We start from the raw sequence: 23,633 nt of genomic DNA on the forward strand, positions 1-23,633 counted from the left end.
CCCTTAATTTCCTGATATCCTTTATCTGGCATACAGACAACAGTTGCTCTTTTTCTTGAACACGGAAGTCATAAATCAGTCCTGTCCCTTTTCACACCTAGCCCCAGCCAGGAACTTTGTCAAAGGCAGGAGCCATGAGAACCCATCCAGAATACCTTAGTCTGTTTTGCACTGCTATGAAAGAATACCTGGGAGTGGGTCATTTATTAAGAACAGAAATTTATTTCTCACAGTTCTGGAGGCAGTGAAGTCCAAGATCAAGGTGCCACCATCTGATGTAGGCTTTCTTGCTGCATGCTCACATGGCAAAAGGGGTAAGGGTAAGACAGGAGTGAACTCTATGCCTTCACATAGCAGAAGAGCAGAAGGGGGAGAACCAATTCCTGTAAGTCTTTTTTAATAGTAGCATTAATCCATAAATGAGGCCAGAGCCCCCACAATCTAAACACCTCCTATTAGGCCCCATCTCTCAAAACTGTTGCATTGGATATTAAGTTTCCCACACATAAATTGTGGGGGCCACATTCAAACCATAGCACCAAAAAGGAGGGCAAATCAGACAATTACCATTTTATGATCAAATTTTTAAAGAGATGAAGGTATTTCTGGTATTCAATTTTGGATGACTTTCTTACCTGAGCCATGATATAAGGAAAATCAAATAACATTATGTACAATATCTTTAAAAGGATTTTTCAACAATAAATACATTGTTTGTATATTTTCTTTTTAAAAAATAGCTTTGTTGAGGTATAATTGATGTTCAAAAATTCGCATATTTTATTGGTGAGTTTGGGCATATGCATACACATATGTGATACCATCACTACAATCAAGGCAATAAACATTTCCATCACTTCTAAAAGTTTACTTGTGCCCCTGTGGTTGTGTGTGTGTGTGCATGTGTGTGTATGTGTGTGATAAAAACACTTAATATGAGATCTACCCCTCAACAACTTTTTAAGTTCACAATACCATATTGTTAAATATGCATAGGCAACAAATCAAAAATAGACAATTAGGACTACAGCAAACTAAAAAGCAAAGCGAAGGAAATAATCAACAGAGTGAAAAGGTGAATATGGAATGCAAGAAAACATTTGCAAACCATTTATCTGATAGAAAGTTAATATCCAAAATATATAATGAACTCCTATAATTTAACAGTCTACAAAAGCCCAATTTTAAAACGGACAAAGGACTTGAGTAGACATTTTTTCATTAAAAATCATATAAATGGCCACCAGGTGAATGAAAAGGCATCAAACATCACAAATCATCAGGAAAGCGAAAATAAAAACCACAATGAGATATCACCTCACACCTCGTATCATAGCTATTATCAGAAAAACAAAAGATAAGCGTTGGCCAGAATGTAGAGAAATAGAAACTTTTCTTCACTGTTGGTGGGAATGTAAAATGGTGTAGCCATTATGGAAAAAAAGTATGGAAGTTTCTAAAAAATAAAAACTAGAACATATGATCCTGCAATCCAACTTCTGGACATATGTCCAAAAGAATCAAAATCAGGATTTTGAAGCAATACCTGCACTCCCAAGTTTATTGCAGCATTATTTACAATAGTCAAGATATGGAAACAATCTAAATGTTTGTCAGATAAATGGATAAATAAAATGTAGTATATACATACATACAATGGAATATTATTCAGCCTTTAAAAAGAAGGAAATTTAACCACAACACAGATGAACCTGCAGGACGTTATGCTAAGTGAAATAAGCCAGTCATAGATGTACAGATACACATGATTCCATTTAAACAAACTATCAAAAATAGTCAAACTCACAGTAGCAGAGAATAGAATGGTGGTTTCCAGGGACTGTGGGGAGTAAGAAAAAGGGAGTTGTTGTTCGATGGGTTTAAATTCTAATTATGCAGGATGAATAAGTTCTAGCGATCTGTTGTATATTATGTTTGTATTTACATTTTTAAAACCATAGATAAAGGTTAAGGGCATGATACTTTTGCAACCTTAAATAAAAGCAACTGGACTGGAATTGGAAGGCTTGGTTTGCATTCCAGATTGCAATTTGTTGCCAGTAGGAACCAAAGCAAGTTAATCTATTAATGTCAGTTTCCTCACACATAAAATGTGGATAAAAATACTCAGTCTAAATGTTAGTATGAGAATTGAACTAGCCAACAGATATGAAGGCATCTAGAACAGTGCCCAACATACAATAAGCACAAAATAAATATTAATGTCTTCTTTGTATTCCTCACACATCAAATATTCATCAGTTAGGATATTTTTCAGGAGTAGAAGTTAATTCCCATAATAAATTCACCATTTAGAAAAACAAAGACAAAAAGCACAGAACTCTGCAATTTCTAGAACTACAACATGGCTAATGTGAAATTGCTCTTGCAATAACATCTAGCACTGCTCAACAAAGATTAAACACTTAAAACTATGTAGTCAGTTCACAAGAAAAAAATAAATTTTTATATACCAGAAATGTGGATTTCAAAGTCAAAGTATTGTAAGTAAACTAGAAATCTTACAAATTCTCAAAGCAAAATTCTCACTAGTTAATATAGCAGCCACCCCAGGGATTGAAATTAAAAATAAAAGTATATATTGTTTTGTTTTATATTTATAATCAAGTTTATTGAGATATAATTTAAATATAATTATAATTATACATGATTTATTATATATAAATATACAATTTACCATATAATTATAATTATATAATATATAATATATTATTATTATATAATTTATAATTGAGATATTGTATAATTATAATTATATGATAAATTATATATAAATTATGGTACACCATTATTTATATATAAATTTTGGTGTGCCATCCAATGTATTTTGGTAAATGTACACACCAGCTGCCATCACATTCAAGACATAGAATATTTCCAAATTCCCAAAAAGTGCCCATCTGCCCCTACCCGATCAATTCCTCTTCCCATTCCTAGCCCAGACAACCACCGATCTACTTTTTATCACTACAACCTAGCTTTGCCATTTCTAGAATTACATAAATGGAGTCATACAGCATATCTGGCTTATTTTGCTTTTGTGTCTGGCTTCTTTCACTCAGCATATGTTTTTAAATTCATTAATCAAGAATGCATCAGTAGTCCATTCTTTTTATTGCTGAGTAATATTCCATTGTAGGAATATACAATACTTTATGTATCCATTCACCAGTTGATGAACATTTGGGTTGTTCCCATTTTTTATCTATTACACATAAAGTTTTTTTTATAAAGCTAGTTGTTTTTATTTATCTTAGAAAGAATACCAAGGAATGGGATTGCTGAGTTGTATGATAAGCATACATTTACCTTTTTAAGAAACGGCTAGACTGTTTTCTAAAGCAGTTATATCATTTCATGTTGTACTAGCAATGAGTGAGACTTCCAGTTGCTTCATATCTTTATCAACCTTTGATACTGTCAGCCTTTTGAATTTTAGCCATTCTGAAGTAGATGTGACTTTAATTTGCATTTCCCTAATGAGTAATGAATGCTGTTGAGCATCTTTTCATAGGCCATTTATGTATCTCCTTTTGTAAAGTGTCTGTTCAAATATTTTGTCTGTTTTTTACACTGGGCTGTTTAGCTTTTATTATTGATTTGCAATATTTTCTTAAATATTCTTGATGTGGAACTTTGGTTTTAATCTGTAAAAAAGATATAAAATGAAGGTTTGTATAAGTGCAAGTCAAGAATTTGGTGTTGAGACATTCTTCATAAAACCAGAACCTTTGAGAAGGGCTGTATCTCTAGTTAAAACCCTCACCACCATCTCTGGAAAATGGCAACAAAAAAAAAATTGCCTCAGCTTTTCGTCTCTAAATTTAAAAAACAAAAAGTCTCCTGAGAAAATGCAACCTCAAGATAGTGTAACACATGGATTTTGAATCCAAATGTGCCCTCCCTAGTGATGGTGGATTTTCCAAGTTGAAACAGTAACAAAATTAGCTCCGAGCCGGTAATATCCTTAGGGTGACTGGCAGAAGCAACCAGAAAACCACCATTTATATGTTTCAATAGCCCAGGCCTATTATTATTTCCCCCATAAAGAAATCCCCACTAAAGATGTTGACATAATTAGGCCGGGCGTGGTGGTGCACGCCTGCAATCCCAGCACTTTGGGAGGCTGAGGTGGGTGGGTCACCTGAGCTCAGGAGTTCGAGACCAGTCTGACCAACATAGTGAAACCCTGTCTCTACTAAATACAAAAAATTAGCCAGGCATGGCAGCGCATGCCTGTAATCTCAGCTACTTGGGAGGCTGAGGCAGGGGCCATTGCACTCCAGCAGCCTTGGCAACAAGAGCAAAACTCTGTCTCAAAAAAAAAAAAAAAAAAAAGTTGAGATAATTAAAAAAAAAAGAACGAAGAAATGATCTATCTTGAAAAGCTTCATATGACACACAAAAGTAGGAATAGACCATAAAATCTTTGAGTTTATAGAAAAATATTTTTAAGTATTAAAATACATATTAGACATTATAAGGAAAGAACAATATTCTATGAAAAAATAAAAGACATATTTGAAAGTAAACTGAATATGACTTCTATAATGAAAAATATAGTTTTGAGGTCTGTGAGCTGCCTGATTAGGAGGGGAATTTGGAGGGTCTTTAAAATCCAATTTAATGTTGCCATTCTTTGATTCTAAGAGTGACCACCGTTTTCAGATTCTCCCAATCATGCTAAATAAATGGAGACGTTCTGTATAAGTTTTGCCCTTGTGTGTTGTCCCAAAGGGTTGCAGACATGAGGCAACAGAGCTTTGACCAGCGACTCTAGCTACGTTTAGGCTTTTAAAATATCTAACTATTTACATACAAAAAAGTGTGAATGAGAAACGATGACAAAGTACAGGTCTCCTCAGAGGCAGAGTAATAAGCATCTAATACTACCTTTGAGCTGATGCTTGAATTATTCCACATAGCCTGGCAAGTTGTCATTTAGCCTTTCCTGGACCAGCTCGGTGATGGGAATTTCACTACCTCTAGCAGCTTTCAGTTCAATTTTGGAGCTATTTTAATTGAGTATTCTCCTTATACTAAGCCAAAATCAGCGTGCTTATTATTTCTCCATTTTTTAGTTCTGCTCTTTAAGTTATTCAGAACAATTTTAATCTCTCTTCAAAATAGCATGTGGAAAACAGCTATAACCATTCAACATCCAGATCAAATGTTCCCAGTTCTCTTTACTAGTCACCTGGTGACATAGCTTTGAGTCCTCTGACCACTCTGATCACTCTTCTTTAGCCACAATCCAGTTTATCATTGTTTTTCTTGAAAGTAAAAACCAAAACTAAACACAGTTTTCCTTTTGTAGTCAACCACTGAAAAATTAGGGTTGAATATTTCAAGATATATAAAGCAAAAATGTTACAAATACAATGAATATTTTAAAAATAAAATACAGTTATGATGGAAGAATTCAATATACCCCCTTAAGAAACTGGAAGAGCAGCTGGTCGCAGTGGCTCACGCCTGTAATCCCAGCACTTTGGGAGGCCAAGGTGGGCAGATCACCTGAGGTCGGGAGTTTGAGACCAGCCTGACCAACATGGAGAAGTCCCATCTCTACTAAAAAAATACAAAGTTAGCCGGGTGTGGTGGCACATGCCTGTAATCCCAGCTACTGGAGAATCACTTGAACCCGGGAGGCAGAGGTTGCGGGGAGCCGAGATCACACCATTGCACTCTAGCCTGGGGAACAAGAGCAAAACTCCATCTCAAAAAAAAAAAAAAAAAAAAAAAATTAGCCCGGCAGGGTGGGGTGCACCTGTAGTCCCAGCTAACTGGGAGGCCAAGGTGGGAGGATGACCTGAGCCTGGGAGGTCAAGGCTTCAGTGAGCTGTGACTGTACCACTGCACTCCAGCCTGGGCAAGAGAGTAAGACCCTGTCTCAAAAAGAAAAGAAAAGAAAAGCAAGAGAGAAAATGACATATAAAATAAGGAGAAAAATGGTAAGTATAACAGTGACCTTAAATATTATAAATAATGAGATTACCTTAAAGTGTCAGTGTGAAAAATTCCACAACCTACCCTACAAACAAGGAATATTCTTTTTTTTCTTCCAAAATGTATGGGATATTTACCAAAAATAATGATTAAATAGGACCTTAATAAACCTGCCATAGAACTTCTATAGAACTGAACACTAATAACAAAGAGTAAAAGATTGTAGCCACTTAAAAACGTAAAACTTTAATTTGGAGTAACTGCAATTAAAATAGAACCAAAGCCACATGAGCAAACTTTTTGCAAATTAATGGTACTAGTAAGCCTATATATGAAATAAAAGAATATCAAAAAGCTTGTTCCGATGACTATTTATAGCCTTAAATTCTTTTTTTCTATATAAAAATGTAAAAAAGAAATAAACGACATAGTCAACTCAAAAACTGAGAAATATCACAGAAAAATAAAGTAAAATAAAGCAAGAGAAAGGATTTTTTTTAACTAGAAAGCAAAATCAAGTAACGAGGACTAGAACTGACAAATAAAACCAAGAGCTAATACTTTTAAAGGACCAGTAAACTTGCCAACCTCTGGGAAATCTGAAAGCAAAAAGAGAAGCCAAACAATGGAGATTTTAAAAATATATGAATACTACATTTATTCTAATAAATTGGAAAATCTTAATTAAATGGATGATTTTTAAAAGGAAAGTATGAATGAGCAAAAATGACCAAGCAAAGGTAAAAAAAAATAAATAAAACAATACTCATCGAAGAAAAAGTTTGGGACCTAAATGTTTTATGAGAGAATGGGGGATGATCTATTAAAATATTAAAGAAAAAATAATTCCTGTGTAATATAAGCCACTCCAAAACATAAAGAAATGAGTCCTCTAATTTATTTCATGAAGCCTGCAAAACCATAATTCCAAATCCTTAAAAGGAGAGTAACATAAACTGAGGCCAAATCACATACAAGCCCAGAAGCAAAACATCTTAAATAAACTAATAGCAAAGCCAGTCTACGAGAGGATTTTAAAGTAATTGACCATGACCAAAAATGGTTTCTTTTAGAAATGCAAAATTGGTTTAACTTTTGGATGCTCATTAATGTATTATCAGCCTGATAGAAGTTGACAGGGAATCTGATAAAATTCAGTAAGGATTCATGATTTTAAAATAATAAAATCTCCTTGCAAATTAGAAACAGGAGGGTACATGCTCAACTTTTTTTTTCTAAAAAGACATCTACCCACATCATTATACTTAATGGTGAAATATTAGAGACATTACCATAATTATTTAAAATACATTTAGACTATAAAGCACTTAGGAGAGTAGGAGCCCCAAGTTGGGTTGTGCTCACCACCGCATCTCTAGTGCCTAGCACAGTGCCAGATGCTCCTAATTTTTCTTCTTTCTCACTAGCTTCTCTTTCTCATTCTCTTTTGCTGGCTTCTCTTCATCTTCGCAACTTCTAAAGGTTGTCTTTGAATACTTCTTTCTGCTCTTTGTACTCACGTCCCAGGTAACTTCATCCACTACCATGGTTTAAAGATCATCTGTATGCTGATGACTCATAGTCATCATAGAGCACCTGCATTCTACCTTTTATACCTCAAAGTCTATCTTTTTCACGCCCACCAACCACACTCCAGCCACAGTCACCTTCTTGTCCCTTGAACATGATGTCCTTGTTCTATCACAGAGTACTTGCACCTACTGCTCTTTCTCTGGCAATGGTCTCCCACCAGATTTGTATGATGCCCTTTTCCCCTTGTAAATTTCATCTCAAAAGTCTCCTCCTCTGAAAGGTATTTTTCAGTTTTATAGTGGCATCCCCAGTCCATAGTCCTTTTCTATTGCATTTCTCAACTATATTTTCTTCATAATCTTATCACTTATTACTATGCAAAACTGTATTTATTTGTTTATATATTTGTTGATGGTCTCCATCTGCTGGAGTATGTTCATTTGAAGGTAATGCATGTGTGACTGCAAGGATTTTGTGCATTTTAATCACTGAAGTTTCTCCATGGTCTCGTGCATTTATTCTTTGAAATGACCTTTAAGGCCATTTTGTCAATATACAAAAATTGTTGAAATTTTTATTGGAATTGCATTAACCTTATAGACTGGAATATAGCAGGCACTTAATAAATCTTTTGAATAGCAAATGAGGGAATTTATGAAGAATACAGAGCTAACAATTATTACTTTTATTCAGTATTATCTCAGAAGTTCTAGAAAATGCCATGATAAATAAAAGCCCCAGAGATTTAAATATTGCAAAGACAAAATTGCAATTAGTTGCAAATTATATGATTATTTTTCTACACATTACAAGACAGTCATCTAAAAACAAAACTTATGAGATTCAATAAGGTGGCAAGTTACAACTCATTTAAAAACTGGTATCTTTCCAATATACAAGAAATGACTAGTTAGAAAATATTATGGAAATAACATCACATTTTACATAGCAATAAAATATATACAACACTTAGAGACTTAACAAAAATATATAGAATGTATATAAAAGGGAATATAACACTTTACTTAAGGGTACAAATGAATACTAAATAGAAAGTTATATCATGTCCCTTTAAAGGAATACTCAGTTTCAAAATTATAATTTTTCTCAAATGAGTCTGTAAGGTTAATATAATTACAATAAAAATTCCAACAGTATATTTGATTATTGACAAAACGACTTTAAAGATCGTTTCAGGGAACAAAATACAATAAAAGCTAAGAATCTCTTGACAGGGAAGAATATTAAGAATGGACTTGTTCTGGCCAGGTGTGGTGGCTCACGCCTGTAATCCCAGCACTTTGGGAGGCCGAGGCGGGTGGATCACAAGGTCAGGAGATCCAGACCATCCTGGCTAACACGGTGAAACCCCGTCTCTACTAAAAATACAAAATATTAGCCGGGTGTGGTGGCGGGCGCCTGTAGTCCCAGCTACTGGGGAGGCTGAGGCAGGAGAATGGCGAGAACCTGGGAGGCGGAGCTTGCAGTGAGCCAAGATAGCGCCACTGCACTCTGGCGTGGGTGAAAGAGCGAGACTCCGTCTCAAAAAAAAAAAAAAGAATGGACTTGTTCTGTTGAATATTAAAACCTAAAACCACTTTAATTAAAAATCCAACTATTGCCGGATTATACATGTGGGACAATGAAACTGAAGAGAAACTCTAAAACACAAAAATATATAATAATTAATTTATGATAAAGATAGCATTTTAAATCATGAGAAAATATTTATATAATCAACAATGTTAGAAAAACGAATGACTTTTTTTAAAAGCCAATCACTCATCTCATATACCAGATTAAATTACAAAACACTAAAAATATAAATGGCATATCAAAATAATTAATCAATTATTCCTTGTCTGACCCCAGTTATATCTATGTTGGCACTTTTCACCATATCCTAGGTGCCTCTTACACTTTTATCTTTATATTCCATTTTTTCTCTCTGTGTTTCACTGTATACACTTTATCCTGAGCCGTCCTACGGTTCAATAATACTTTTTTGTATTTTTACATGTTGCGCTTCTTTTTGTTTTTTATTTGTAATACTTTAAGTAAGAAATTGTTTGAAATAAGACAATAAGAGTCTAAAAATAAGGAGTCGGTGGGAGAGCAGGAGACCAGAGATTATTACAGAATCAACCTGACAATAACCTAGACAAGGAATAGGAGGCTGTTCACCACCACCAAGAGGTCCAGTGCATTTTGCTGTCCTTACTGATAGGCCATATTTCACCTTCTTACAACAGAAATATCATCAGAGACTTTATCAAAAACTAGGCTGAAATCCATATATACGACATTCATAGCATTTTATTGATCCAAGTCTAGTATTTACATGACTGCTTTGTTCATTTTGAGGAGTATATGTTTATAAATACATATTAAATATGGAATTCTACACTCTAAGTAATAAAGAAGGTTTCTAGAAAGAAAAGAATGTCTGCAATTAGTTTTCCTCTAAGCCAGGACTATTGAAAACTATGCCATTTTGATTCTCTGCTCATTTAGGAAACAGACAAAAGACGAATATTTAAAAGTTCAATAATTAAAGGGCAATCAACTTATATTGCCCTCTTTAAATCCACAGAACTGAACTTTTCAAGTTATTAACATTAAGCTATTATGCAGATGAAAGAATAAGAAATTGGTATCAGCAGACTCAAAGGAGAATGTGGATATTCTATAAATCCAGGAACACATGACAATGTTTTCAAGCACACAGCAAAATGCCTAAGGGCTGACCAAGTGGGCGTACATTATTTTTTTAGAAATAGACTTCAATATAAATTGCCAGGAGGTGGCCATTTATCGCCAAAGGGTCAGATGGAAGGAATGTGGAATGTTTCCACATGTGTTTTAATGATTCAGTAGTCAAGGTAAAGCCGAGTGCTGTTCTCAAAAATTACTCCTGGGGATGTTACATATTTAATTCAGTCCAGCTGGAAAAGGTTACAGGATGTAGTCCTCAATTTGAATGACTATTGCACTCTTAAAATGCTGTTTTTGTGCAATGTAAGGAACAATTTTGATTGCAGTTTTCAGTTAAAAGGCCTTCCTCTCTGAAGACAAACTTGTCAATTGCATGGAATCTGAAGCAGCCAATTGAAGGAACCAATCAGCAAGGCTTGCTGACAGCTGCACCTGAGTAGCCCCACACTGCTGAGTGAGGGGGTAGTCTTAATACCAGCCCAGTGGTATTTGAACTAGTATACAGTAAGTCCTTACCTAACATCCTTGATAGGTTCTTGGAAACTGTGACTTTAAGAGAAATGATGTAGTATAATAAAATCAATTTTACCATAGGCTAATTGATATAATAAACAAGAGTTAAGTTCTTATGGCTTATTTCTAGTTACAGAAATATCACCGAACTTCTAAATAAAGGCAAAAACACTTCTAATATCAAACAATGAAGTACATGTAAGCATGTGAGCTATACATACATTTAAGAAAAATAAACAAAGCAAAATAATTATTTACTTGCTTATTCCAGTTCAGGCTTATGGGTTGCCAGAGCCCATCCCAGAAGCTCAGGGCACAAAGGAGGAACCAACCCTGGCCAGGATGCCATCCCATCGCAGGGTGCACTAACACACACACACACACACACACACACACACACACACACACAGCGCACTTGCTCAAAAGTAGGACCATTTAAACAAGCCGATAAACCTAACATGCGATGCGTGTGTTTGGGATGTGGGAGAAAACTGTAGTATCCAGAGAAAACCCAAACAGACTTGAGGAGAATGTGCAAATTCCACACAGACAGGGGCACCCACCTGGAATCAAATTTTTTTCTCATAACCCAATAATGAAAAGACGTTGAATGTAACGTCATTATTCAAGGACTACTGTAAGAACTGCAGCCCTGTTTTCTGGCTGAAAGACCATCATACAAACTGTGACCAATAGCTATTATGTACGTAAACGTGCGTTTAGTTACATGCACATTAGATAGGAACTTTAATCCTTGTGAAACCCAGAACACTCCTATTTTAACTTATGTTAATAAAATATAATGGAATCCATGGAAGAGGCTCTATGGTTAAGGTTGAAAAGGCAATTGCTTGCTAAATGCCATTTTTTAAATTGCATTTTAAAAGCTGTTCTGAAATAGCTATAACAAAGATAAAATTTGCCTTAAGCTAAATGTTGTCGAAATTAAAAGGTTTGAAAGAAAGAAAACGAGTCATCATCCAGATTTTTAAAAAATATGCTGAATTTGAAGTTTCTTTCAAAGTACAGTGTTTCAATGGGGGGAGTCCAATTTTTGTAAAATTTTACAAAAACTGTATTGCCCTAAAGGCAGCCTACTGCACACAAGGATCACAGTGACTTTTACTTGTTATTCTACATGATTACTTAAAATTTTTCTGATTTTTTTACCCTCATCTATCTTCTAACTTGTCTAGTTAACTCTTAAGAATTTCAAATTTTCTTTGAAAGATGATAGGCAATATGAGATGAGAGATAATCTACAAAAGTTACAGATGCTCACATGTATAAAACAGTCAAAATATCACAGGTCAATGACATAAACTGCATTAAATAAATTATGTTTATAGGCATCAGTAGTTGAAAATGCTCAATAATTCTGGGCTCCTTCCCCAAAATGTAAGACTTAAGTACTTCAAAGGCATTATTCTTTACTCATGAGGATCAGTGGCTTCATTTAGTAAAAGAAAAAGGAATGGACCCAGGATCCCAGTAAATAATTACTAACTGATCGCAACGCTCTTTTATCTAATGAACAACCAACAACCAACAGAAAACCCTTGATTCACAGAGGAGCAAGTCCTAGCTATTATTAAGACAGTCATTTTTTACGCTTTTTTAAAAAAATAGTAGAACAATACGTGTTGGTCTAATCTGGAAGGTAAAGTATGCTGACTTATTAAAAATTCTTAATGGAACCACAGCCCCCAAATCATTTCCCGTTAGGATGAAAGTTAACAGCTGCCATTAGGGCTGGTGTCAATTTAGAGATCTCTTCTCACTTATGCCAGAACTTATAAGAAAAGCCCATGAAGAAATAGCAATTGCTAAAATAACTACATCAATAAGCCATTCTATTCAGACATTGCAAACACACAAGCCCTTGAAATCATCATACCACTGACCCACCAAATAAGCTATTTTTAGCCAATGAGGATTACCTTCTCCAACAACAAGAACAAAACAGGCCATTTGATATATTCTTTCTGGTTTCTAGGGCTTTTTCACTTTCCTACATACTAATGAAACACAGATATCTAAACCATGCCAGTTACATAGTGATATTTTTACTCTAGAATTGTTTGCTAATCCCAACCAGTTCAGGAAAGGCTTTATTGATAGGATTCAGAATCACAAATGTAGCCATCCAAAGCCTGCTTACTAACCTAATACATAGTCACGTGAGAGACAAACAGAAAGGAGGATATAAATTTTATAAAAATCTACATATTGGCAACAATCCAGGCCTTAGTTAACTCATAGCTCACCTTAGCCTCAAGCTACATTATTTGAGCATGGCTGCTTTCCTAGAGGCATAAATACCTTAGAAATAATGAATGCCACGAATACGCATGTATGTTTTATCAGTGTTGTTTGCAGAGAAGTCAAGTTTACAAATAGAAAAAAATAATAAAGTACATAAAATAAATTTTTACAAATAATGCCATTTTAACTGGATATGAACTACTTTTTCCATGTAGTATAACTGGAATATATTGTTTAATATGCCAAGTTCTAGATTTAGATGACTTGAAATGAATATTTATCAATAGAATACTTGCATAAAGTATAGACTTACAAAAAATAAATGTTAAAACATAGATGGAAGAAAAGAATGCTTAGATGTGTGCCAGCATGGGAGCTGGGTTTATGTGCCAGCATGGGAGCTGGGCATCCCTCCCTCCACAAGACTGGCCTGGGAAGGGAGCAGCCTGTTATCCAGCCACAGCTTCTGCCCAAGGGAGGCCTGCAGCCCCACAAACCTATAACAGCCCAGTGATCTGGGTACAGAAGCCTTAGAACAAATCGAGCTGGGCAGGCCTGCTCCTGAGGCAGGTAACAGACAGGATTCAGTTGGGGGAGTGTGAGTTTAGCAGACCCCACAACCACGTGCTGGGGTAAAAAACACTGGACCATAAGTGCCACACCAGCTCAGATCATTGACGCCAAAAACTAACAAAGAAATAATCTGGACTTAAATTCAACACTTGACCATTGGACCTAACAGACATGTACAGAATACTTCACCCCACAAATACAGAACATACATTCTTCTATGGACATGAAACATACTCCAAGACTGACCACATGTTCAACCATAAAGCAAGTCTTAATAAACTCAAAAGACTGAAATCACACTACACATACTCTTGGACCACAGTGGACTGAAAATAGAAATCAATATCAAGAAGTGCTCTCAAAACTACACTATTACATAAAAACTAAACAACTTAGCCAGCACTTTGGGAGGCTGAGGTGGGCAGATCACCTGAGGTTGGGACTTCGAGACCAGCCTGACGAACATGATGAAACCCTGTCTCTACTAAAAATACAAAAAAATTCGCCAGGCATGCTGGCAGGCGCCTGTAGTCCCAGCTACATGGGAGGCTGAGGCAGGAGAATTATTTGAACCTGGGAGGCAGAGGTTGCAGTGAGCCGAGATCGCACCACTGGACTCCACCCTGGGCAACAGAGCAAGACTCCATATCTCAAAACAAAAAAACAAAAAACAAACAAGCAAAACTAAACAACTTGCTCCTGAATGATATTTTGGTAAAACATGAAATTAAGGCAAAAGTCAAAACATTATTTGAAATGAATGATAACAGATGCACAACATACCAAAGGTTTTGTGATGCAGTAAAAGCAGTGTTAAGGGTAAAGTTTATAGTGCTAAACACTAAATCAGTAAGTTAGAAAGATATCAAATTAGCAACCAAACATTACACCTAGAGGAACTAGAAGAACAAGAACTACCTCTAAATCTACCAGAAGAAAGAAATTATTAAAATGAGACTAGCACTGAATGAACTTGAGATGCAAAAATCCATACAAAGGATCAATGAAATGAAAAATTTGTTTTTTGAAAGGATAAACAAAATCAATACACCAATAACTAGAATAACAAAGAAAAGAGAGAAGACTCAAATAAACGCAATCAGAAAAGACAAAGGTGACATTACAACCAATCCCAGAGAAATACAAAAGATCCTCAGAGATTATGAACACCTCTATGTACGCAAACTAGAAAATCTAGAGGTAGACCGGGCACGGTGGTTCACACCTGTAATCCCAACACTTTGGGAGGCCGAGGCGGGCGGATTACCTGAGGTCAGGAGTTCGGGACCAGCCTGGCCAACACAGTGAAACCCCGTCTCTACTGAAAGTACAAAAATTAGCCAGGTGTGGTGGTGGATGCCTGTAATCCCAGCTACTCAGGAGGCTAAGGCAGGAGAATTGCTTGAACCCGGGAGGCAGAGGTTGTGAGCCGAGATCGCACCATTGCACTCCAGCCTGGGTGACAAGAGCGATACTCCGTCTCAAAACAAAAAGAAAAAAAGAAAATCTAGAGGATATAGATAAATTCCTGGAAACATACAACCTCCCAAGATTAAATCAGGAAGAAACTGAAACCCTGAACAGACTAATAACAAGTTCCATAATTGAATCAGTAATAAAAATCCTACGAAACAAAAAAGGTCCTGTACCAGATGTATTCACAGGTTAATTCTACCACATGTACAAAGAAGACTTGGTACCAATCCGATTGAAATTATTCCAAAAAACCGAGGAGGAAGGACTCCTTCCTAATTAATTCTACAAAGCCAGCATCCTACTGATACCAAAATCTGGCAAAGACACAATAGAAAAAAGAAAACTACACAGGCCAATATCCCTAATGAACATAGACACAAAAATTCTCAAAAAAATACTTGTAAACCCAATCTAGCAGAACATCAAAAAGTTAATTCACTATGATCAAGTAGGATTTATTTATGGGATGCAAGGTTGGTTCAACATATGCAAATCAATAAATGTAATTCATCACATAAACAGAATTACAAACAAAAACCATGTGATCATCTCAACAGACACAGTAAAACCTTTTAATGAAATCCAACATCTCATGAGAAAAATGCTCAACAAACTAGGCATTGAATGAACATTCTTCAAAATAATGAGAGCCATCCATGACAAACACTGTACTGAATGGGCAAAAGCTGGAAGCATCCCCCCTGAGAATTAGAACAATACAAGGATGCCCACTCTCACCACTCCTATTCAACATAGTACTGGAAGTCCAAACCAGAGCAATCAGGCTAGAGAAAGAAATAAAAGGTATCCAAACAGGAAAAGAAGAAGTTAAATTATCTCTCCTTGCTTACTATATGATGCTATACTTAGAAAGCCCTAAAGACTCCACCAAAAGGCTCCTAAAATTGATAAGTAACTTCAGTAAAGATTCAGAATAAAAAAATCAATGTACAAAAATTAATAGCATTTCTATACACCAATAACACTCAAGCTGAGAGCCAAATCAAAAATGCCATCCCATTTACTAGAGTTACAAGAAAAATAAAATATTTAGGAATACATCTAACCAAGGAGGTGAAAGATCTCTGTAATGAGAATTACAAAACACCGCTAAAAGAAATCAGAAATCACACAAACAAGTGGAAACACATTCCATGTTCATGAGTAGGATGAATAAATATAATTAAAATGGCCATACTGCCCAAAGCAATCTAGATGCAATGCTATTCCTATCAAACTACCAACATCACTTTTCACAGAATTAGATAAAACTTTTCTAAAATTCATGTGGAACTAAAAGAGCCTGAATAGCCCAAGCAATCCTAAGCAAAAAGAACAAAGGTGGAGGCATCACATTATCCAACCTCAAACTACACTACAAGGCTACAGTAACCAAAACAGCATGGTACTGGTACAAAAGCAGACAAACAGACCAATGGGTCAGAATAAAGTGCTCAGAAATAAAGCCTACGACCATTTAATCTTCACCTACAACCATCTGATCTTCAAAAAAGTTGACAATAACAAGCAATGGGGAAAGAACTTCCTATTTAATAAATGGTGCTGGGATAACTGGCTAGCCATATGCAGAAGAGTGAAACTGGACCCCTTCCTTTCACCATATACAAAAATAAACTCAAGATGGATTAAAAACTTAAATGGAAGACCTAAAACTATAAAAACCCTAGAAGAAAACAAGAAATACCATTCTGGACATAGGCCTTGGCAAAGATTTCATGATGAAGTCTCCAAAAGCAATTGTGACAAAAATGAAAACTGACAAGTGAGACCTATTTATACTAAAGAGCTTCTGCATAGCAAAGAAAACTATTAACCAAGGGACTAGACAACCTACAGAATGGGAGAAAATATTTGCAAACTATGCAACCAACGGAGGTCTAATATGCAGAATCTATAAGGAACTTAAACAAATCAACAAGCAAAACACAACTCCGTTAAAAAATGGATAAAGGACATGGACAGACACTTTTCAAGACATACACACAGCCAACAAGCATATGAAAAAAATGCTCAACCTCACTAATCGTTAGAGAAATTCAAATTAAAACCACAATGAGATACTATCTCACACTAGTCAGAATGGTTATCATTAAAAAATCGAAAAAATAACAGATGCTGGCAAGGTTGCAGAGAAAAGGGAATACTTATATACTGCTGGTGGGAGTGTAAATTACTTCAGCCCCTGAAAAAAGCAGTTTGGAGATTTCTCAAAGAACTTGAAACAGAACTACCATTCGACCCAGCAATGCCATTATTGGGCATATACCCAAAGGAATAGAAACCATGCTATCATAAAGATACATGCATATATATGTTCACTGCAGCACCATTCGCAATAGCAAAGACAGAGAATCAACCTAAATGCCCATCAATGGCAGACTGCCTAAAGAAATGTGGTACATATACACCATGGAATACTATGTAGCCATAAAAAGGAATGAAATCATGTCCTCTGCCGCAACATGGATGTGACTAGAGGCCAGCATCCTGAGCAAACTAATGCAGGAACAGAAAACCAGATACCTCATGTTCTCATTTATAAGTGGGCCTAAACATTGAGTACACATGAACATAAGTAGGGGAACAACAGATGCTGGGGACTACTAGAAGGTGAAGGGAGGGAGGGGAGTAAGGGCTGAAAAACTACCTATTGGGTACTATGCTCACTGCCTGGGTAACAGGTTCACTTGTACCCCAAACCTCAGCATCATGCCATATACCTTTGTAACAAACATGCACGGGAACCCCCTGGTTCCAAAATAAGTTGAAAAAATAAAATAAAATAAGATGATGAAGTCATGAAAGAAAAGATCAAAGCCATAAGACAAAACAAAATATTATGACAAAAAAAAGCGCATTTTGAAAAAGAACTAATTGGGACTTCCAGAAATGAAAAATACTTTTTGAAATTAGTCAAAGGAGGAGTAAACAGCATTTGTTTAGAATAAATACTAAAGACAAAATCGTGTATGGGAAGTTACATCAAGATTTAACTAAGTCACAAAGGCAATGTGGAGATATAAAGGGATAGAAAATATGAAAGGGTAAAAGGCACAGAATATATAGCTAGAAGGTCCAACATGTATCCAGAGGCAATTCCATAAGGAAAGAACAAGGGAAAGGTGAGGTGATTCCCCACCACCCTCATTTTCTTCACCAACCACCACTATTGCCTCTTCACCAGGCTCTCCTATAGTCACTCCTAGAACCACTTTGAAGAATCAGTGCTATGGCTTGGCAGGGTAGCAGTGGAGAAGTTCCCCCAAGAGATTCTGGGAGAGCTGCAATAGTTTTCATCAGCTCTTTATGCCCCAGCAGTGCTGTGGTACTGCAACGATACCTCCTCATGAAGGCCAAGCATGACTAGCCACTGCTGATTTTTGGCTCAGGGGAAATGGAGCGAGCAACAGTCCTCTCAAGCAATATGAGAGAGAGGCAAGAAGTGAATTTAAAAGCTTTCCCTAAAAAATATAAACCCACCACTGCACCCGCTGACTGTGGTTCAGCCTACCATTACCCAACTAACAGCCTTTGGTTTTGCCAGGAGTATTCCTCAGATTGTATGTTACTTACTCTAATCTATGCTTGCTTCCTTTTATGTGGTTTCTACAGGGCTGATCTTGGGCGAGGGAGCCAGCCACCTGTGCTCCTTCGCTAAGTTCGAAAATTGAGGACTTGCTATCTTTTCTTTCATATTATTGTATTTTCTTACTGTTTGTTGCAGTTTATTTAAAAACAATTGTCACCCTGCTGAACATTCTTGTTTATTTCAGTAATACGTCTGTAGATTATTTTGGGTTCTTTCCATGTAGAAAATTGTATCATCTGAGAACGGTAGTTTTGCTTCTTTGATTACAATCCCTACAGCTGTTTTTCTTGTTGTTGTTGTTTTGTTTTTTGTTTGTTTGCTTGTTTGTTTCGAGACAGAGTTTCGCTCTTGTTGCCCAGGCTGGAGCGCAGTGGCATGATCTCAGCTCACTGCAACCTCTGCCTCCCAGGTTCACACGATTCTCCTGCCTCAGCCTCCCAAGTAGCTGGGATTACAGAACTGCACCACCACGCCTGGCTAATTTTTTTGTATTTTTAGTAGAGACAGGGTTTCATCATGTTGGCCAGGCTGATCTCGAACTCCTCAACTCAGGTGATCCACCCGCCTCAGCCTCCCAAAGTGCTGCGATCACAGGCGTACGCCACTGCAACTGGCCATAATCCCTACAGCTTCTTTTGCTATAGCTGTCTAGGCAGCTAAAGCCAGACTTAGGCTCTGGCTGAGTTTCCTATGACAACACCAAATAGAAGTCATAAAAATGGGCAGTCTTGTCTGGATAATGTTTCCTAAGTAAGGCCTCGCTATTTTGTAATACTCTTTATCAGGTTAGGAAATTCACTTTGATATCTATTTTGCTAAGAGTTTTTTTATCATAAATTGTTGAATTTTATTAAATCTATTTTCTTCATCTGCTGACATGATTATGTTTTTTCATCTTTTACATGTTAATGTGGTGAATTACATTATTAGATGTTTCCAATGTCAAAACAACCTTACAATCCTAAAATAACCAAACTTAGTCATGACATAGGAATATTGTGCATTGTTGGTTTCATTTGCTAACAATGTGTTTATGATTTTTACATCCATATTCATGAGTGAGGTTGCCCTGTGATTTTCCTTTCTTCTTCCGTCCTTATTTAGTATGGGTATTCAGGTCATACTTGCCACATAAAATAAGTTGGAGAATCTGGGGACAATTTGTGAAAGATTAGATTTATCAGCTACTGCAGTGTTTGGTAAATCATCTGAGCCTTGCATATTCTTTGCAGGAAGAATTTTTACATTGAATGATTCAACATTTACAGTGGTTATAGGACCACTGTTGTGTTTCTTGACTTAGTTTTGGTAATATTTTTCAAGCAATTTGTCCATTTCAAACTTGCTGGCATCTGTCATTATGTCTCCTATTTATTGCTTATCTGTACCTCCTTTTTCTTTCTTCATTAGTCCTGGCAGAAGTTTGTAAATTTTCTTATTCTTATCAAAAATAAGCTATATGGCTTTTGACTACTATCTCTGTTTTCTATTTAATCAATTCTGCATATATATATAGATATTAATTTCCTTCATTCTTTGAGTTTGCTCTGTTCTTTTACTAACATCTTAAGTTAGAGGCCTAACTCATTTCAACATCTTTTTCTCTTCTACTATACATATTTAACGTTATACATGTCCATCTAACTATTGATTTAGCAATGTCTACAAAAGCAATGTACATTCTTCAGTTTTGAATATTATATTTTACGTACTAGATCTATTCATCTCTAATAATACTTTTTACTTTAAAATCTATTTTGGCCAATATTTATAGAGCTATATCAGTTTTCCTGTGGTTGGTATTTGCATGCCATATGTTTTTCCATCCTTTCACTTTCAATACTCTGTATTTTTGAGTTAGATATGACTCTCATAACATCATTTAGCTGAATTTTTAAATTCAATTTTGATCTATATTTCTTGTAACTGAAAAGTTAGTCCATCTTAATTTCACAATTTTATGTTTTCCTTACTAGTTTTCCTGCTTCTTTAATTCCTCCCCTTCTCTCCTTTGCCATTTTTTGTTAAAAGTTGATTAAGGTGCTCTTATTACTCAATCCATTTTTTTGTCTTTCTACTTTTTTGGAAATTAAAATCTGTCTATTTGTTCAGTGGTCATTTTGAATAATTTAGCAAACATACTAAATTTTCCAATGTCTAAAATTAAACGATACTTTTACCTTCCTCCTGAACAATGCAAAGATTCTAAAATACTTCAACTCCAACCACTTACTTTTAAAATTTTGCTAATATTGTCCAATATTATGATTCTATGTAGATTTTAACCCCACAAGTCAGACATTATTATGACAACTTATACCACATTTTATGGTATATATTTATACTATATAACTATACATTGACCATACTTTTGCCTGTTACTCTGAGTGAAATGGGAAGCCAATGCAAAGATAAGCAGGGCAGTAAGGCTCAAAGAAGCTTCGTGTCCCGAGATGCTGATCTTTAGGGATTATATCAACCAGACCTCCTTACCATCGGGCTTCCAGTTAAGTTTGGCTAGTGGGAAGAATGAGCAGGAGATCACCGAATAGAGAGAGTTTGGAGTGTTTATTCTCCTGCTTCCTCTCTGCTTGGCTGCAGTTTAGTAGTCGCTGACTTCATCTATCTAGGATCATAGGCCCTCTTAGGAAGGATCTCAGACATAGTGACAGTTCTTCCCTGGTTCTAGTCATGGTTTCCTCCCCTTTCTCTTTCAGCCTAGGGGTGGCGATAGCTTCTTACTGTTACCAACACTGCGTACTTCACCATCCTTTGATTCCCTTAACCCTGCCTATCCTGTATAAATAATGTTTCATTAAAAAAAAACAAAAAAAACTCTTCAATTACTCCTTGGAGTGTGCTACCTGCTTCCTGTTTCCTGCTGAGCTCCTTATCAACATAAAAAGAATGGGCATCAAAATACACACTCTTTCCATTCATACTTTTCAGTCGTATGTCCTATTTCCCTTCCCTACTGCCCCCAAATTCTTTACAACATAACCGTATAAATGCTTGGAATTTTCTCCTATACTTTTTGCCATCTTGTGTAAGAGTGGATGTTAAAGGGATTGGACACTAATTCAATTTATTATCTTTTGCAGTTATTTTTCCCATTTGAAGACAGAACTGCAGCTCTAATCAGAGCAGGAATAGAGTATTTTAAGGTATTTCTTTTTTGCTCTGTCACTCATTCTTTTTATGACAAGGAGAACAGATTGTAAATCAAGTCTTGGACTTCCTCTACTTCCTTGTAAAGAATTTTAACAATAGTTAATCTAATCTCTGCTGAAATATGGCATGCACCTGAGGCTGTCAGAGTGCCACACAGAGAAAACATTAGTTAAGAATTCTACCCCTGCCAATCAATGATAGACTGGATAAAGAAAATGTGGCACATATGCACCATGGAATACTATGCAGCCATAAAAAAGAATGAGTTAATGTCCTTTGCAGGGACATGGATGAAGCTGGAAACCATCATCCTCAGCAAACTAACACAGGAACAGAAAACCAAACACCACATGCTCTCACTCATAAGTGGGAGTTGAACAATGAGAACACATGGACACAGGGAGGGGAACATCACACACCAAGGCCTGTCGGGGGTGGGGGGCAAAGGGAGGGATAGCATTAGGAGAAATACCTAATGTAGATGATGGGTTGATGGGTGCAGCAAACCACCATGGCACGTGTATACCTATGTAACAAACCTGCACAGTCTGCACATGTATCCCAGAACTTAAAGTATAATAAAAATAAAAATAAAATGTTAAAAAAAAAGAAGAAAAGAAGAAACAATTTAAAAAAAAAAAGAATTCTACTCCCAGCAGTAGAAAAAAATGCGGCATTTTTCTAAGTGGTGTTTTAGGATTATTCTATTTAATGGCTTATGTTATTATCTGCGTGAAACCTGCAATCCCCAGGAATCTTAGAATTTTAGACTTATGTTTAGAAATACAGAAGCAACTGGTCCAGTATTTATTTTTTCTAATATTCTTTCTTCTAAGATCTTGGAAAGATAAACAAGTAGTCACTGCTTAGGTATTTCTAGTGTCTGACAGAACCTCATATGAGTTTTAAATATTCCATTAACAGTGTATTTATTACTAAAAATGTGTCTCCATGTGCTGAATCAAAATCTGCACAACCAAAACATCCACCAGTTGGAGCCAATAACACTCTCAGAGGCAAGAAGTCTAGTCCAAGCAATTTTTCTCTCCTTTATATGTTAACTCATTTCATTTCCAGGACTCAGCACAGTGCCTGCACATAATAGGCTATCAAAGTTATTAAATAATTTGAATGAATAAAATATTTAAAGACACCTATATATCAAGACCTCCTTAGGTCTTTTTTAGGACAATCATGCCCAATTCCCTTAATCATCTTCAAGTGATGCTTTCTAAACATATTATAATTGACTGCATTCATTTGTACAAACTCAATTTGTACATGACCATCTGAAAATGTGACAATCAGGACCGAACAAATAGCTTTAGAAATGGGTTGACAAGACAGTGCCAAAATGGGACTATTCTTTCTTTTCTTTATTTAAGGTATTGTATTTCTAGTAATGGAATCTAAGTATGTGTCAGCATGTCTGATAACCCCACTATTGGCTTAAATAGAACTTGTGCTTAATTAAAATAACCACATTTTAGCTTATTTATTCATTCACTAACTTATTGCCCAGACTATTGTAGACAATGGAAGTACAGAATGAATAAGACAAGCCAAAGGCCTACCCTGAACATGCAACCTTTTTTAAAGTTTGAGATTGTTTAAAAATAAAAATGTATTAATAGACAAAACTGACACTGAATAAATAAGTAAATGCATAAACATTATGATGCTCAGTAATAAGTGATATTAAAAATTAAGTAAGGTAAGGAGTTTAAAAAGGGATGAGGAAGAGGCCACAATAAATTGAGGTATAAAGGAAGATCTCTCTTAGGAGATGACATTTGAACAAATACCT

The 23,633-nt window shown here is 35.8% G+C and overlaps 1 long non-coding RNA gene across 1 annotated transcript in view, besides 1 other annotated feature; it reads right to left on the reverse strand.

Annotated features, from left to right (window-relative positions):
• PTCHD1-AS (PTCHD1 and PHEX antisense RNA) overlaps window positions 1–23,633 on the reverse strand; it is a 1,100,142-nt gene that overhangs the window by 889,365 nt on the left and 187,144 nt on the right. The window lies entirely within an intron of this gene.
• Window positions 10,958–11,196: a silencer, noted in NCBI's record as "fragment chrX:23111444-23111682 (GRCh37/hg19 assembly coordinates)". NCBI's record gives its function as "represses an EF-1alpha promoter that drives an FKBP-Casp9 reporter gene in an ReSE screen in K562 erythroleukemia cells {active_cell/tissue: K562}" and the evidence as "EXISTENCE:reporter gene assay evidence [ECO:0000049][PMID:32094911]".

This window comes from Homo sapiens, chromosome X (genome assembly GCF_000001405.40).
Source record: "Homo sapiens chromosome X, GRCh38.p14 Primary Assembly".
Classification (NCBI taxonomy): domain Eukaryota; kingdom Metazoa; phylum Chordata; class Mammalia; order Primates; family Hominidae; genus Homo; species Homo sapiens.